Source organism: Homo sapiens, chromosome 1 (genome assembly GCF_000001405.40).
Source record: "Homo sapiens chromosome 1, GRCh38.p14 Primary Assembly".
NCBI classification, from domain to species: domain Eukaryota; kingdom Metazoa; phylum Chordata; class Mammalia; order Primates; family Hominidae; genus Homo; species Homo sapiens.
Window position 1 is genome coordinate 89,036,166 of NC_000001.11, and position 16,102 is coordinate 89,052,267.

General features: G+C 42.2%; 1 long non-coding RNA gene across 3 annotated transcripts in view, besides 2 other annotated features; it reads left to right on the plus strand.

The window, feature by feature from the left end:
- The first annotated feature begins 5,577 nt into the window (after nucleotides 1-5,577).
- Nucleotides 5,578-16,102, plus strand: part of LOC105378841 (uncharacterized) — a 57,743-nt gene continuing 47,218 nt past the window's right edge. Inside the window, exons 1-3 of one of the 3 annotated variants that reach the window (XR_947578.3) lie at nucleotides 5,578-8,722; nucleotides 10,694-10,755; nucleotides 13,063-14,192. This is a non-coding gene — a long non-coding RNA (uncharacterized LOC105378841). Of the gene's footprint in view, nucleotides 8,723-10,693; nucleotides 10,756-11,349; nucleotides 11,575-13,062; nucleotides 14,193-16,102 lie in introns of those variants that run through there. The other 2 variants (XR_947577.3, XR_947575.3) reach the window with 2 other exon arrangements.
- Nucleotides 10,586-10,635: an enhancer, noted in NCBI's record as "active region_1294". NCBI's record gives its function as "activates an Ori minimal core promoter by ATAC-STARR-seq in GM12878 lymphoblastoid cells {active_cell/tissue: GM12878}" and the evidence as "EXISTENCE:reporter gene assay evidence [ECO:0000049][PMID:35858748]".
- Nucleotides 14,525-15,109: an enhancer, noted in NCBI's record as "H3K27ac-H3K4me1 hESC enhancer chr1:89516373-89516957 (GRCh37/hg19 assembly coordinates)". NCBI's record gives its function as "activates a minimal SCP1, AML or CMV promoter by ChIP-STARR-seq in primed H9 embryonic stem cells {active_cell/tissue: H9 hESC(primed)}" and the evidence as "EXISTENCE:reporter gene assay evidence [ECO:0000049][PMID:30033119]".

The following is a 16,102-nucleotide window of genomic DNA, read 5'->3' on the forward strand; positions in this document are numbered from 1 at the left end:
ACATATGTATACATGTGCCATGCTGGTGTGCTGCACCCTTTAACTCGTCATTTAGCATTAGGTATATCTCCTAATGCGATCCCTCCCCCTCCCCCAACCCCACAACAGTCCCCAGAGTGTGATGTTCCCCTTCCTGTGTCCATGTGTTCTCATTGTTCAATTCCTATCTATGAGTGAGAACATGCAGTGTTTGGTTTTTTGTCCTTGTGATAGTTTACTGAGAATCATGATTTCCAATTTCATCCACGTCCCTACAAAGGATATGAACTCATCATTTTTTATGGCTGCATAGTATTCCATGGTGTATATGTGCCACATTTTCTTAATCCAGTCTATCATTGTTGGACATTTGGGTTGGTTCCAAGTCTTTGCTATTGTGAATAGTGCCGCCACATTTTTATCTTGTAGTATATAGGCTTCCTTGAGGCGATGAAGCCTGAGTTAGATAGAAGGAAAATGCATTTGGTATCTACTACATGGTAGTCATTGTGCTAAATTCTTTACAGGTGTTATTAGTTAATTCCATTCTTCAGTACAGGCTTATGATGTAGGTAGTATTATTTGCATTTTAAAGACTAGTAAATACAGTTTAAATATGTTTAATGGCTTTTTTTTATTTTTATTTTTTGAGACGGTGTCTAGCTCGGTAGCCCAGGATACAATCTCGACTCACTGCAACATTTGCCTCCTAGGTTCCAGCGATTCTCTTGCCTCAGCCTCCCGAGTAGTTGGGATTACAAGCATGTGCCACCATGCCTGGATAATTTTTGTATTTCTAGTAGAGACGAGGTTTCACCACGTTGGCCAGGCTGGTCTCAAACTCCTGACCTCAGGTGATCCGCCCATCTCAGCCTCCCAAAGTGCTGGGACTACAGGCGTGAACCATTGCGCCCGGCTGTTTAATGGCTTTTTAATACCAGTTTATCAGGCCACAAGGCCCTGACAGTTGATTGATTTGAGGTTTCTTCAAATGATGAATCGGCGTGTTTAAGAGGATCAAATTGGGTTCGTAGGTGGTTCTATATTCTGCCAAGGTGGACTGAAACATTCTGGTGCTATATGTCTCTCTCTTTACTCTTTCTAACTGTGAAGTCTGATTAGTACTTATAAATGAAAAGTCTCAGGCTCTCTTCCACTTTTTGTTGTGAGTGAAGGATTTCTGATATCAATTCAGAACAACTTGAAACTGTTTTTATTTTGAACACATGTCAGATTGAAAGTGGAAGCAGGGACTAGTTCTTCATTTTTGGGAGATAGCCTAGATGTTAAGAAAACTGCTCTTTTCTGTTTATTACGATGAGGTGGGAACAGTTTTTGTGCATTTGGTTTTTACATGAGACTGCTTGAAAAATTTTCTAGGGACTTTTTCTTTTAAATGGTGGGTAGACAGAAGCAACATTTCCACTTTCCAGTTTACTTGGTTTGTAGTCTATGGAATCCTTGTATCCTTCTAATAGATGGTCACAGAACAAATTAATTCATAATTTAGTATTATTATACAATAACTTATGTATGTATGCTTAGTGTTTCAAAGATTGTCCCAAATATGAAGAATCCCATGAACAGATTCTGAATTTCAGGTATGGTATGTTTTTATATAAAGCTGCTTTTTACATAAAGAAGACTCTGAATTTCAGGTATGGTATATTTTTATATTAAGCTGCTTTTTACATAAAGAACTCCAGGCAGTATGCTGTAGGGTACACAGCAGCAGAGATCCATTGATTCAGCTGGGGTTACTTAGTCTCATATAGAACGGAGGCATGACCTGCAAGTTACGAAAATAATGAACCATATTCAAGTGTGTGTAAGGAGAGCAACGCTCTGTGTGCACAGCCCTGGGCTGGATGCTGAGGGTATGAAGACTAATTAGACACAACCACTGCCCTCAGTAGGACTTACTCCAGTGGGTAAGAGTGACTTGCACCCAAATTATAAAATCAAAGGATTAGAGAGAATAGGAAGAGAAAAGCACTGAACACTAAAATATGTAGCCTCAGATCACAAATTGGAACATTTGAAACTTTTGCTCATGAGGAATTTACCCTGATGTCACTTATGTGAAATGGATTAAATTTTAGATTTCTAAAAAGTGACTTGACAATAAGAACAGACACATAGACCAGTAGAACAGAAGAGAGAAATCAGAAATAAATCCACATATTATAGCCAACTTATTTTTGACAAGGAGACCAAAAACATACATTGAAGAAAGGACACCCTCTTCATAAATGGTGCCAGGCAACCATAAAACTATTAATACTAGAGGAAAACATGGGGGAACACTTCAGGACATTGGTTTAGGCAAATATTCTATGGGTAAGACTTCAGCAATGCACCCAACAAAAGCAAAAATAGACAAATGGGACTTTGGTACTTAAGTGATCCTCCTGCCTTGGCCTCCCAAAGTGTTGGGATTACAGATGTTGAGCCACTGTGCTTGGCCCCATAATAGACTTGTTTCTAAGATCCACTCCTTTTCCATTCTAGCAGAACAAGAGCCTAATTTTTTTAATTTTTATTTTTAAGTTCCAGGGTACATGTGCAGGATGTGCAGGTTTGTTACACAGGTAAATCTGTGCCATGGTGGTTTGCTGCACCTATCAACCCATCACCTAGGTATTAATCCCAGCATGCATTAGCTATTTTTCCTAATGAAGAGCCTGATTAAAAATATAAAACCTTGGTACCTAAACCTCAGAGTCCTCCAAATACATAATTTAATTTAAGCTGCATGCCTCTGTTTTTTTTGTGTGTGTATGTGTCATCTATTTTGCTGTAGAGTTTCCAAACCAACTGTGTCTGTGCACTATTTGGAACTCTCACAGGTTTTATACAGTTTCCTTTTTTACTTGTAGCAGAACGGTTATTGGGCTGGCATATTATAAAAATGCCAAAAAAAGTTATATGTATTAGTGTCTTGTCCCAAAATTTCTGATAGAAAGGGAAATATGTGTATTTGTAAGCAGATTTAAAATGACTGTTGAAACAGAGATGGGACTCCAAGAATTTAAGTATCAGCAGAAACCTAAGCAAGAAAAAATGACTGTTAAATTTCTTTGTGAAAGAAATTTTGTTTGTTTTGAAAAACCAGATAGTGAGTAGAGGGAAGAGGATAGAACATGGGAGAGGACTGTTGGGAACTAGCAAGGTAGAAGTGGGCTGGGCTGGGCTATTGTGGAGTGAAGGCTTGTGGTTCTCCTCCAGGTTACGAGATCAAAGAAATCTTTTTTTTTTTGAGACGGAGTTTCGCTCTTGTTGCCCAGGCTGGAGTGCAATGGCGCGATCTCGGCTCACCACAACGTCTGCCTCCTGGGTTCAAGTGATTCTCCTGTCTCAGCCTCCCGGAGATCAAAGAAATCTTGGGGAACAAACTTTCCACGCCCACATCTTTAACAAAATCTCCTACGCTCGAATGTACTGTTTCAATTGTCTTACACTTGGGAGTGAGGGATAGATGAGGCACCATGTCCAGCTCTATCTCAGATTAAACTGCCAGCCCCAAACTGAGAGGTCTTCTTCATCATGATTGGAAAAGGCATATCGGAAGGGATCAGTCGGTGACACAGCATTTTCTCAGCTAGCCCTGGAAAACCACCCAAACGTCATAGAAATATAAGGGAAATGTCTGCTTAACCTACTCTTTCTTTTGGGAGGGCATGCAGTTTAGCTATTTGAGTGAGTATTTTGTTTTTGTTCCAATACTTGATTTTAGCAGAGCAAATGAGTCCATCATGCATTAGCAAATAAAGTCAGCTCTGAAAGTGAATTCTCAGGGAAGGGAATGGAGGCACATGCTAGAATTCTTGTACTGTTCTAAGTTTGTTATTATGTCTCATGTGGAAGTCAGAATGTCCTGGAGACTGACTCCTGGTTTGGCTTTGATATAAGCACTGGAAGATGAACAAGAGATGAGGTGGTGGCAAAAAATAGGGATGATCTTAGACAAACTGAAACACTAAAAACAGCCTAAGTATGTTTCTTTTCTTTTTCTTCCTTCCTTCTCCCCTTCCCCTTTCCCTTCCCCTTCCTTCCTCCCTCCCTCCCTTCCTCTTTCCCTTTCTTTCTTTCTCTCTTTCTCTCTTTCTTTCTCTCTTTCTTTCTTTCTTTCTTTCTTTCTTTCTTTCTTTCTTTCCTTCTTTGTCTTGCTCTGTCACCTAGGCATAGTACAGTGGCATGATCTCAGCTCACTGCAACCTCTGCTTCCTGGGCTCAATCATCCTCCTATCTCAGCCTCCCAGGTAGCTGGTACCACAGGCACATGGCTAATTTTTGTATTTTTTGTAGAGAAGGGTTTTTGGCATGTTGCCCAAGATGTCTTGAACTCCTGGGCTCTAGTAATCCATCTCCCATGGCCTCCCATATTGCTAGGATTGCAGGCTTGAGCCACCATGCCTGGCCTGCCTCCATACGTTTCAATGCAAAAGCACAAATGTTGTATCCATATTAAATAGCTATTCAAGTACACACATACACACACATACAAATGATTATGTGGGAAAGAATATTAAGAGATTGCTGCAGGCCATTATCCTTAGCAAACTAACACAGGAACAGAAAACCAATTACCCCATATTCTCACTTATAAGTGGAGGCTAAATGATGAGAACACAGAGGGGAACACACACACTGGGCCCTATCAGAGAGTGGAGGGTGGGGTGGAGGGAGAGTATCAGGAAAAATAACTAATGGGCACTAGGTTTAATACCTGGGTGAGTAAATAATCTGCACTAAAACCCCCCATGACACAAGTTTACCTATTTAACAAACCTGCACATGTACTCCTGAACTTAAAATTTTTCTTAGAAAGGAAGGAAAAGAGGAAGATGAAAAGGAGGGAGGGAGGAAAGGGAGGAAGGAAAGAGGGAGAGAGAAAGGAAAGAATGGGAAAAATAAAGAGGAAGAGAAAAATGAAGAGATACATCCATACATAGATAACATAATTTTTCTTAACAAAAGTAAAATAAGATTATAAGAATGTGGTCTGTAAATAACACTACTGAGTCAAAAAATTATTAAATATATGAGTCATGAAAAACCACAATGTGTTACCACTACACATCTGCCAAGTGGAAAAAAGGCAAACTATATTGAGGCTTGATGAGCTTGTGGAGCACCTAGAATGTTCATATAGTACTCATGTAAATATAACTTAGTACCGCTATGAAACTGACAGTATCTTCTAAAGCTGAACATATACATTTATAGAAATCCATTTCTAAATACACACACACGAAGAACTGAACATCTGTGAACTAAAAGATATGCACAAGAATGCTCATAACACTACTGTAATAGACATAAAAGTGAAAGTACTCAAATGTTCATCAAGAGTTGAGTGGGGCTGAATGTGGTGGCACATGCCTGTAATTCCAGCACTTCGGGAGGGAGGTCAAGGCAGGTGAATCTCTGGAGGCCAGGAGTTCAAGACCAGCCTGGGCAACATAGTGAAACTCTGTCTCTACTAAAAGTACAAAAATTAGCTGGGTGTGATGGCACACGCCTGTAATCCCAGCTACTTGGGAGACTGAGGCACAAGAATTGCTTGTACTGGGAGGCAGAGATTGCAGTGAGCAGAGATTGTGCCACTTCACTCCAGCCTGGGTGACAGGGTGAGACTCTTCCTCAAAAAAAATAGTTGAATAGATGATTTATGATATAGTCATATAATAAATAAATACTATACAACAATGAGAATAATTGACCTACAGCTAAACACAAAAATATTGACCAATCTTGCATTTACTCAATCTTATATTTACGCAATCTACTATTGAGTAAAGGGCACTGGATACTAAAAAATACATATTTTATGATTTCATTTATATAAAGTACCAAAACAGGATAGTAATCTTCATGAGCTTAGGAGGTGGTGGTAGTCTCTGCTTGGGAGCATGACAAGGGCTTCATGGCAACTGTTATATTCTGAATTTTCTTTCAGTGCTGGCATTCTGGATATGTTTCATTTGTGCAAATACATAGAGCTATATATTTATGATGCCCACTTTTCTACATGTGTATTTATGCTCCAAAGTAGTTTACTTAAGTCATCTAACAATATCTAGAAATAAGTCTAACAAAATATGCAAGGACTATACACCATGAACTATGCAGTATTTCTGAGAGAATTAAAAGGGCTAATAAATGGTAGGACATGTCATGATTAGGGATTGGAAGACTGATTATTTTATGAATCTCATTTCTCCACAAATTTATCTATAGATTGAATGTAATTGCAAGACTCATACATAGAACGAGTTGATTTATAGAAACTATAGTGAAAGGATAATCTTTTCAATAAACGGTGTTAGTATCATGGGATTCTTGGGTTATCACTTCACCAGCTGGAAACCTCTGTGGCCAGTGGATCCTTTGCCTGAGTTTTTCTTGGGCTCACTGGGCTTGTTTCACCCCTTCAGTCTGGCAGGCTGCGCTTGGCTTACGCTACCCTCCTGGATCCCGTGCCTGCCAAGAGTGAGCTGAGTGGGGAGGGGTGTGTGAATGAGTGAGCATGGGGCCCAGCCACTGCTCATAGCCAGGCATGCTGGCTGTGGCAGGGTGGGCAGCTCCAGGCACTGGCATGGGCGCTGGCTCCCTGCGAGGCTGAAACTGGACCAGGCGAACCATAAGCAGCTTCCATGGCTGGCACCAGGGAATGCGGTGGTGCCCAGAAGCTTGGAATCACCAGAAAGTGTGAAGCCCCAAAGAGGTTATCACAGCCCTGGTTTGGGGAACTTCTAGGTCTGGGATCCCCAAAGGGCCACAGCTCTTCTCTCCTTCTCTCTTCTCTCCTTCTCTCTTCTCTCCTTCTCTCTTCTCTCCTTCTCTCTTCTCTCCTTCTCTCCTTCTCTCTTCTCTCCTTCTTGTTGCCCACAACATGGTGAGCAAGGGGGGTGTTTCAGCCTTGTTTGTGTTACAGCTCTTTCAGCTCTGCCATTTGGCAAGTCCCTAGTTTTTGTCCTGTGTCCAGGAAGAATGAGGTACCTAGACAAGTGGAGGGTGAGCAAGATAAAGACGAGCTTTTTTGAGCAGTAGAACAGCTCAGAGGAAACCCACAGTGGGTAGCTTCTCTCCTCAACTGGGATGTCCTGATGAGTGTTCAGCTCTCAGCAGAGAGGAGACCCTGGAGTAGGTAGCTCCTATCTGCAGCTGGTAGTCCCAATGTCTGCTCAGCTCTCAGCAGAGAGGAGAACCCAGAGGGGGTAGCTCCTCTCCACAGGCAGGTCATTCTGTCATCTCCTCAAGTCTGGCTGAGCCCAGGGTTTTTATGGGCTTCAGCGGGGAGGAAGTGTGTGCTGATTGGTCCATGGGTGGCCATGGGTGGGCCTGGAAAAGGCAACATAAGTTCCCACTCTAGTCTGCAGGACTGGCAGCCCAGCTCCCAGGCTTCAGGCCTTCCCTGGCTTGAAGGTGGGGCTTCACCAAGGGCCTACCTGTTTCCACCCTGGAGCCTGTCTGCCTCCTGCTGCTGCTTATGTAACCCAGGCTTTTACTGCTGAGGGGTGCCTATAAGCCAGCATTGAGCTGCCCTCAGCCCGGCCTCAGCCTCCCTCTGGTGCTCGGTGGTGCACAAAGTCTAGACGGGGACAAGGCAGCAGGGGCTAGTGTGTCAGGGCTGCCCTAAGTGTGTGCACACCTGGCCAGGTTGCAATAGTACCTAGTCTTGGCCTCAATTTTGCTCCAGATCAGAGCAGGCACAGGAACAGAGAGAGGCCAGGAAACAGGAGCAGGCATTTCCAAGCCTGCTGGGACAAGAGGGACTTCCTGGGCCCCTGGGAGTGCAGAGATGCCTGGGTGTGCAGCTGCAGCTTGGGTGGCTGCAGCTGCGGCTTGGGTGGCTGCAGCTGCAGCTTGGGTGGCTGCAGCTATGCCTGGAGCTCATGCCTGCTCCCACTCCTCAAGAGCACAGGGATGTCCAGGCTTGGAGCCATGGCTGGGCAGCTGCAGCTGCGCCCAGGGAGCATGAGGCTCCTGCCCTGCCAACTCAGGAGCGGGCTGGCCTTCCACCTGTTTCTGGCTCCCTCCGGCTCCATGGAGCATGCAACCCTGGCCACACCTCCCCAGTGAAGCCAGTGTCATGGCAGCAGCCACTCTAGATGGGCCATGGCTGCCATCATTAGGGCTTTACTATACACATGTTAAAAAGTAATTAAACGTGGTTTCTACCCTCCTGACATTAAAAACTGATCAATTCCAGATGGATTATAGATATAGTTGTGGAAGACAAAACAATCAAACTTTTAGAAAAAAGTCAAAGACATTATTTTCAGGTTTTCCAAGTTGGGAAATGTGATACAAAACTATTCAGTTTAAATAAAAAATCAATACCTTTAACTATTAAAATTGAGGACTGCTATTTATCCAAAGATACAATGAAGAGACTGAAAGGCAAAGATTAAAAAAAGACTAAAGATTTAAAAAATTAAATATGTATACACACATGAATGGAATATGTGAAAAAGTCTCCAAGTAAAGAAAAAAGGACAATTCACTAGAAATAGAAGAAAAGTCTTAAACAGTCTCATCCCAAAGAAGATATCCTAATGAACAGTGGACATGAACAGGGGCTCAACTTCGTTAATTATCTCTCATTCTCAAGGAAAAGCAAATTAGACTGTGAATAAAATCTCCATGTACCCACTAGGATGACTACAATTCAAAAGGCTGACCTATCCAGGTGAAGATGAGAGTGTGCAGCATTGGAAATTCTTACACATTGCTGGTGAGAGTATAAATGATGACAACTGTATTAAAAAACTATTTGATATTATCTACTATAAGGTGAAAAATGCATACTATATGTTTAATAATTCCACTCCTAGTTATCTATAGTGAAATATTATTACAGAACCCAAAAGCTTGCATGAATTTTAACACATAATATTGAGTTAAAGAAGTTAAACAAAAAACAAACCATGGTATATATTTCAGTTTATATAAAGACAAAAAGCAGACAATAACAATCTGTGATGTTCCAAGTCAGGTAACATTTCTGTGTTAGTATCTGCTATTGCATAAGAAATATGCTCCCAAAGTAGTGACTTGAAACAGCACTGATTGTCTCATATTTTCTAAAGTTCACAAGAATCTTTTAGGTAAGGTTTAGCTGTGTCTTCTTGGTGGTTTCTCACAGGCTGCAATCAAAGTGCCTCCTGGGCTTTAGACATCTCAAGGCTTTTCTGGGGAAGAATCCACTCCTCAAACTCAGTCTCATGGTCATTGGCAGGATTCATTTTATCATTAACTTGTTAGACTAAAGTCCTCTGTTCCTTTATGGCTGTCGACTAAAGGTCATCCTCAATTGTTTGCCATGTGAGATTTCTGCCATGATAACTTCCTTCATCAGTATGAGCAAGCCATGAGAGAGAGAGGGAGATAAAAAAGAAAGGGGAGGAGAGAGAGAGAGTGAGAGAGTGTGTGAGCTAATGAGAAAGAGAGAGACACATAGAGAGAGAGTAAGCAAGCGATAGAGCACATGGGCTAGCAAGATGGAAATTTGGATGATGCTATGACTAAGATTCTGAGGGTATTTGCCAAAATTTAGTTCCTTGAATTCGTTCCTTACATGATAGTGTGAGAACAGATGTACTTCTCAAAAATCATCCACTGTAAGATTATAATTTAGCTATTATTCCTTTTTTATGTTGTTTTTCATTTTATTTTTAAAAAAGTAAAAGTCACCAAGACTGGAGTAGATCTAGAAGGGCAAAAGTGAACACAGTAAATTAGGAGTCTAGTGTGGAATTCCAGGTGAATGACAATATGGACTTAGACTAGAAAGGGTGAGGTTCTATTCAACTCTAGATGCATTTCCAATTTAGAGCTAACAGGACTTGCTGTTGAATTGATTTTGAGGACAGAGAGGAAAATAGGGATCAAGGATGGGGTTAAAGGAATTATATTTACCAAGATAGGGGAGACTGTGGGAGGATGAAGTTTAGGATCACAGGAGAAATCAAGAGTTTTGCTTTGGATATGTAAAACTTGAGATTTTTATTGGACATCAGTGTGGGAATGCTAAACAGGCAGTGAAGTTAGAGCCGTAAATTTGGACATGTTGAATAGAGATTTGCTGAAGCCAAGACAGTGGATTAAAGAAAAAAATGGGCTCAAAAACTGAAGAGCTATAATATTTAGAAATTAAGAAGTAGGAAGAATTCAGAAAAGGAAATTGAAAAAGAATGGCCAATGAGATAGAGAAAAACAAAGACTGTGTGCTACATAAGCAGCCCGAAATATGAAATGCCTGAAGAAGGAAGGGATGATTATCTTTGTCATATTGCTGAGACATAACATAAGATGAGAATGGAGAATCGACAATTCGGCATATCAGCATGGAACAGGCAGGTCATGAGAGGGGCTAATTGTGTGGGACACTTGATATTGAGATTATGGAGGGAGGTTTAGTTACTGGTAAAGAAAAGGTTGAAGCTGAGGTGAGATGATAGAAAAGACTTTCTCAGAGGTCAAGTAGCTGAGAGGCTGGGGTATTAGATGCTTGTCTACCACATGCAAAAAGTCCCAAAGGTTAATAACAAGAGTAGTGGTAAAGAGAAGAAGAGTCAGGTGCTAAAATATTCAGTGAATAAAGGGGTTGGGAGATCCAGAATACCTAGAGCAAGGGAGTCGTGAGTAATATAGCCTGATGACATGTGTTTCACTTTATGTGTTTTGTTGTTTTGTGGGTTTCCAGGAGATTTAGAAGCTAAAGAAAGAGGACAAATGATTTGGAAGCAAAGATAAGAAGGAAGAAGGGTATGTTATCTACGTCACTTCGAGCTCTGTCACATGAGGAATAATAGAGGAAAAGCAGGGCATTGCCCCTAGAGGGAGGTGCTAGCATCTCTGCCACTCCTCAGTTTGTGAACTTTCTATGCCTTATTTCATCATCTTCTCAATGAGCACATCAATATCCAATTCATATTGTTTTGTGAGGCTGAATTGAGATAATGTACATAGAAGTCTTATCTTATTTTGAACACTGAAAATTTGGTAAAACTTTCCATTAAGTGTTAAATATCAACACATTTCGTAAACATGATATTTAAATATATGTTCTTTCTAAAAAGGTTTCCAGAGCATAAAATTTGTAATAAGGTGTGAATGTGTGATCTTTTATGTAGCTATCATTAATATTTTTCATAATTTCTGTTTTGATTTTTTTTTATGAGACAGAGTCTGGGTCTGTCACCCAGGCTGGAGTGCAGGGGTGCAATCTCAGCTCCCTGCAACCTCTGCCTCTGCAGCTCAAGTGATCCTCCTGCCTAAGCCTCTTGAGTAGATGGGAACACAGGTGTGCACAACAACCTCTGACTAATTTTTTTTATTTATTTTTATTTTTTTCTGTAGAGATGGGGTCTCGCCATGTTTCCCAGGCTGGTCTCAAACTCCTAGATTCAAGCGATCCACCTGCCTTGGCCTCCCAAAGTGCTGGCATTATAGGCATGAGGCACCATGCCAGGCCTGTTTTGAAATTTCATACATATTTATAAAACATATTTTCAGGATGAGAGAATATACGAAGAAGTTACATAGCATTGTGTATCTGTATAGAATAAAAATGATCTAAATCAATGTCATCAGACCATGGCTTTATAGACACCATCTTCTAGTCAAATCACTCATCTGTTTTTACCCAGTACTCATACTGTGGGAAAAGTGTAGGGGCACAGAACAGTGAACACTTTCGGGAATGTTGGAATCATTCTGTATTAGAATTTTATTCTTATAAAAAATGTTGGTGAATCAGTCTGGATTAGGTCATGGAAACAACACACCATCAATCATCACGGAAAGAAGGTGTTTCATGTGGGAATTTTAAGAATATAGGACAAACAGGATGTGGGAGAGATGGGGTTTCAAGGTCTGATAAGGGAATATTTGGTGGGATAAAGAAATAGTGACGAAGCACTTCAGCCTGAAGAGACTTCTTAGAAACCTATCAGGCCCATATTTCCTTCTCCCAAAAGGCAAAAATAGTACTTAAGTTATCCTCACCAGGAGATTTGGCTACAGAAATGAATAACCCAATTTTTAATCTATTCAGCTAGTCTCACCACTGCTACCCAAAGAGCTACCTGAGAGTCTTGGAGACACAACTGAACACCAATGATAATCTCTTAGATTATAGCTGGGGATATTACCAAAGATGTGATTTACCCAGAAGGATTAACTCTAGTGAAGCAGCTAGATCAGGAAGGTTACTGGGGTCCGAGTTTGGACTATGCCCTGCTTGGAATGAGAATATGGTCAGAAATCTTGTACTGTTAATAGAATGACTGCTCCACTGGCCAAACCATCAGAGCACAGCAGAAGTCCCAAACTCCCTTGCTCATGTGGTCCTAGACAACTACATTGTTTTTGACTGTCTTCTTGCTGTACAGGGTGATGTTTGTGCTGTTGCTAACATTTGCTGCTGCACCTGGGTAAATACATCTAGTTAGATTGAATTGGACACATCTAAGATCCTAAAGTTAGCTAAATCTCTGAATGGGACACCTTCAAAAAGCCTCCTGGCTGGACTTCCTGGCTTGAATTTACAATTTCCAGATATTTTCAGCTGGCTTTTGTCTCTAGTCTAGGATACCTTCTGTGTTCCATCCTACAGATCTTAATGATCCTTCTATTTGGGCTAATCATTTGGGTACTCTTTTGAATTGTTCTAGCCTGTTTTTTTTGTTTGTTTGTTTTGTTTTGTTTGGAGATGGAGTTTCACACTTGTTGCCCAGGCTGGAGTGCAATGGTGGGATCTCGGCTCACTGCAACCTCCACCTCCTTGGTTCAAGCGATTCTCCTGCCTCAGCCTCCCGAGTAGCTGGGATTACAGGCACGCACCACCACACCCGGCTAGTTTTGTATTTTTAGTAGAGATGCATTTTCTTCATGTTGCTCAGGCTGGTCTCAAACTCCTGACCTCAGGTGATCCGCCCACTTCGGCCTCCCAGTGTGCTGAGATTACAGGTGTGAGCCACTGCGCCCAGCTCTTCTAGCCTGTTTTAACAGATATCTGCAAGAGGCTTGGATCATGCTGACCTAACCCAGGAAATTTTAAATTTACTCCAGACAGGAACCAGAATCAACATAACCTACGAGACTTTGATTAGAATCTAACAGGTACCTGAGTGCCTTTTGTAAGTAAATGGCTCTAGTTGCTCAATTGGCCACTGCTCTGCCACCAGGATCCCTAGAAGAGACCAGATAAACCTGAAGCACGTAGCTAATCACTTCCATGCCGTGATGGAATGCAGTGCTGTCTGCCAACAAGTTTGAGCCAGTCTTTCAAGATGCATCCTGAGTGGCTAACTGGGCCTGCATTTCAAGTTGAGCCAAGGGACCATTTGCTAACGAGGGGACACACACATGTTCTGAGTTCACCCAAAACACATACCTTATTATTTTGGGGCTTTTCAGCCCACCTGCCTCTGCTAATCAGGGCTCAGCTGTATTGACCCATTAGAACTCAGCTGGGTTGACCAATCAGAACTAAGTGAGTTTGGAGTTTTAATTCTCAATTGAATGAACAGACCTGATTGGGAACCTGCGTGGGAACTTTGGCTATTAAACCTGAGCATTCTTTCTGTTCTCTGGAAGAAATAATGTTTAAGTTGCTAACACTTTATGCATTTTCCTAAAATTGAATCAAACAACTCCTTTTGAAACATAACCCTGATATCAGGGAAGTCGTACAACACCGTGCTAAATAATTTTATACCTCTAACCAAGGTCTGTGCCCTAATCAGCAGGAAGTGCCAGAGTGTCTGTCACCCATTCTCCCTCAAGATTGAGAAATGAACAATGAAAAAAGGGGGATTTGAAAATGCAGAACCAGCCCAATGTGGTTCAAGTTTGTGTAATAAAATAATGCGTTGTTTTACTGTTGCCACGGTCTCCTGGTTTCAAGTTATGTTACCTGAGCATGCCCAGACACACTCTGCATGCAACCACGGTGGAACCTAAGTACTTGGACCAAGGAGCAGGGCTGATTTAAGAAGGAGACACCTCAGGGCTTAATCTGTGATCTGATCAGATCCAGCCCTGACATCACCTCATGGCACGATGCAGTCAGATCTTACCTCATTACCCTCTGTCTATAAAACCTGCCCCAACCCCCAGATCTGAGAGACAAATTTTTAGATATGCTTTCCCCCATCTCCTTCCTAGTTGAATAAAAATAAACCTTTCCCTCTACAAAACCCTTGTGCTTCCTTGTTTGGCTTTCCATTGCAATCAGGCAAACGGCCTGCATTGCTTTAGGTAACTGACACTCCCAAGACTCAAGGAGCTGCCGCGCAGCACTATTTTGAAAGCCCAGCCCCCATCAGACTGTATCTTGCTCTGGGGCCCAACAGCCCCAGCATCTCCACTTCCCTGGAGCCCTGCGGACATCTCTTCATTTCCACCCAGAGGGCTGCAACTTTGTCCCGTGGGCTGAATCCAGTGGTGCAGTAAGGAACAGGCAGTGCACCACACCAGGGAGACTGCCCCCAGGACAAAGGGAGCCCAAATGCACACTCCTCAGTTTCTGAAAGCCACTTGCCCGGGGCCACTGCCACCGACAGCAACCCTCTCAACTTTCCACCCGAAGCAGGGCCACCAAGCATCTGCATGTGCCTCCCATGGTCCTGGAGCTGGTCTGCCCAGACGCAGTTCTGTGTCCTGAGGACAGGCTCTCACACCACCCGTCACGCAAACATGGTGCCCAGGGCCTGGGGATCATGCTGCCTCAACTGTAGCTGCGGGCGTGTGCCCACAACATCAGGAAGTGTGACAGCAGGCCCAGGTCACCTGCCACTGGCACCCAAGCATGCCATCCAGGAGCTTGGTGATTGTTCGGCCACACTCGCCATAGCCTGCACCCTTGCACGCCATTGGAGGGCCTAAGGACGGGAAAGCAACATGCCTCCCTGGAGAGAGCTTGATTCTGTTCTGGCATATGTTAGAGAAAAGTACTAAACCAAGTCAGATGGTTTGGAATGTGGTCTAATTTTTTATTTTTTTTTAGACGGAGTCTCGCTCTGTCGCCCAGGCTGGAGTACAGTGGCGCGATCTCGGCTCACTGCAAGCTCCGCCTCCTAGGTTCACGCCATTCTCCTGCCTCAGCCTCCAGAGTAGCTGGGACTACAGGCGCCCGCCACAACGCCCGGCTAATTTTTTGTATTTTTAGTAGAGACAGGGTTTCACCGTGTTAACCAGGATGCTCTCCATCTCCTGACCTCATGATCCGTCCTCCTCGGTCTCCCAAAGTGCTGGGATTACAGGCGTGAGCCACAGCGCCTGGCCAGAATATGGTCTAAATATTAATACTACCAAACTGGGGAGGAAGTAACTTAATTTTGCTGATTTTTCATTTTCTTATACTTTATTGGTTTACAAAGAAACCATTATTTGCTTTTAATGGCAGAGTTATTCTTTTCTACTGTGAAGTTACTTCAACTCATAAAAATGTATTTTATTTACACCTTTGTAGCAATGGAGCTTGGAAGAAAATATAAAGCATATCTACATGAACATTTCATCTAGTATTCTGTGTTCTCACCTGGTCTTCTATAAAGTTTCAGTTCAAGTGAAGAAACAGTGCTTGGCAGCACCATGCTCTATTGTGAAAGGAGGCATTTGCCGTGTGATTGGATCACAGGTAGTTCAAGGTAACAAAAGGCCTCAAAGCAATTAGGAAAGACAGGATTATTAATGTGGATTTAATGGCATTAGCTGCTTCCTTGCTTTTTTCTCACTGTGTTATTTTGAATAACCGCATAGTTTTTTCAAGATTGTAATATATATAGTCTAATCCATATGATTTTTATACATGTGAGTAACACAATGCAGGTATATAAAACTCTGACCAATGTTTCTGTAAAACAGAGTTCTGCAAACTATGGCTTATGGGTGCCATCCTGTTATTGAAAGTAAAAATTGATTGGAACATAGCCACACCTATTGGTTTATGTATTTTCTATGGCTGTGTTTGCACTACATGCAGAGCTGAGTAATTCAGACAGAGACTGTATGACCTGCAAAGCCATAAATCGTTACTATCTGGTATTTTACAGAAAAGATTACCAGCCATTGCCATAAAGAGTAAAACCTTATTTTCTGATAAAAA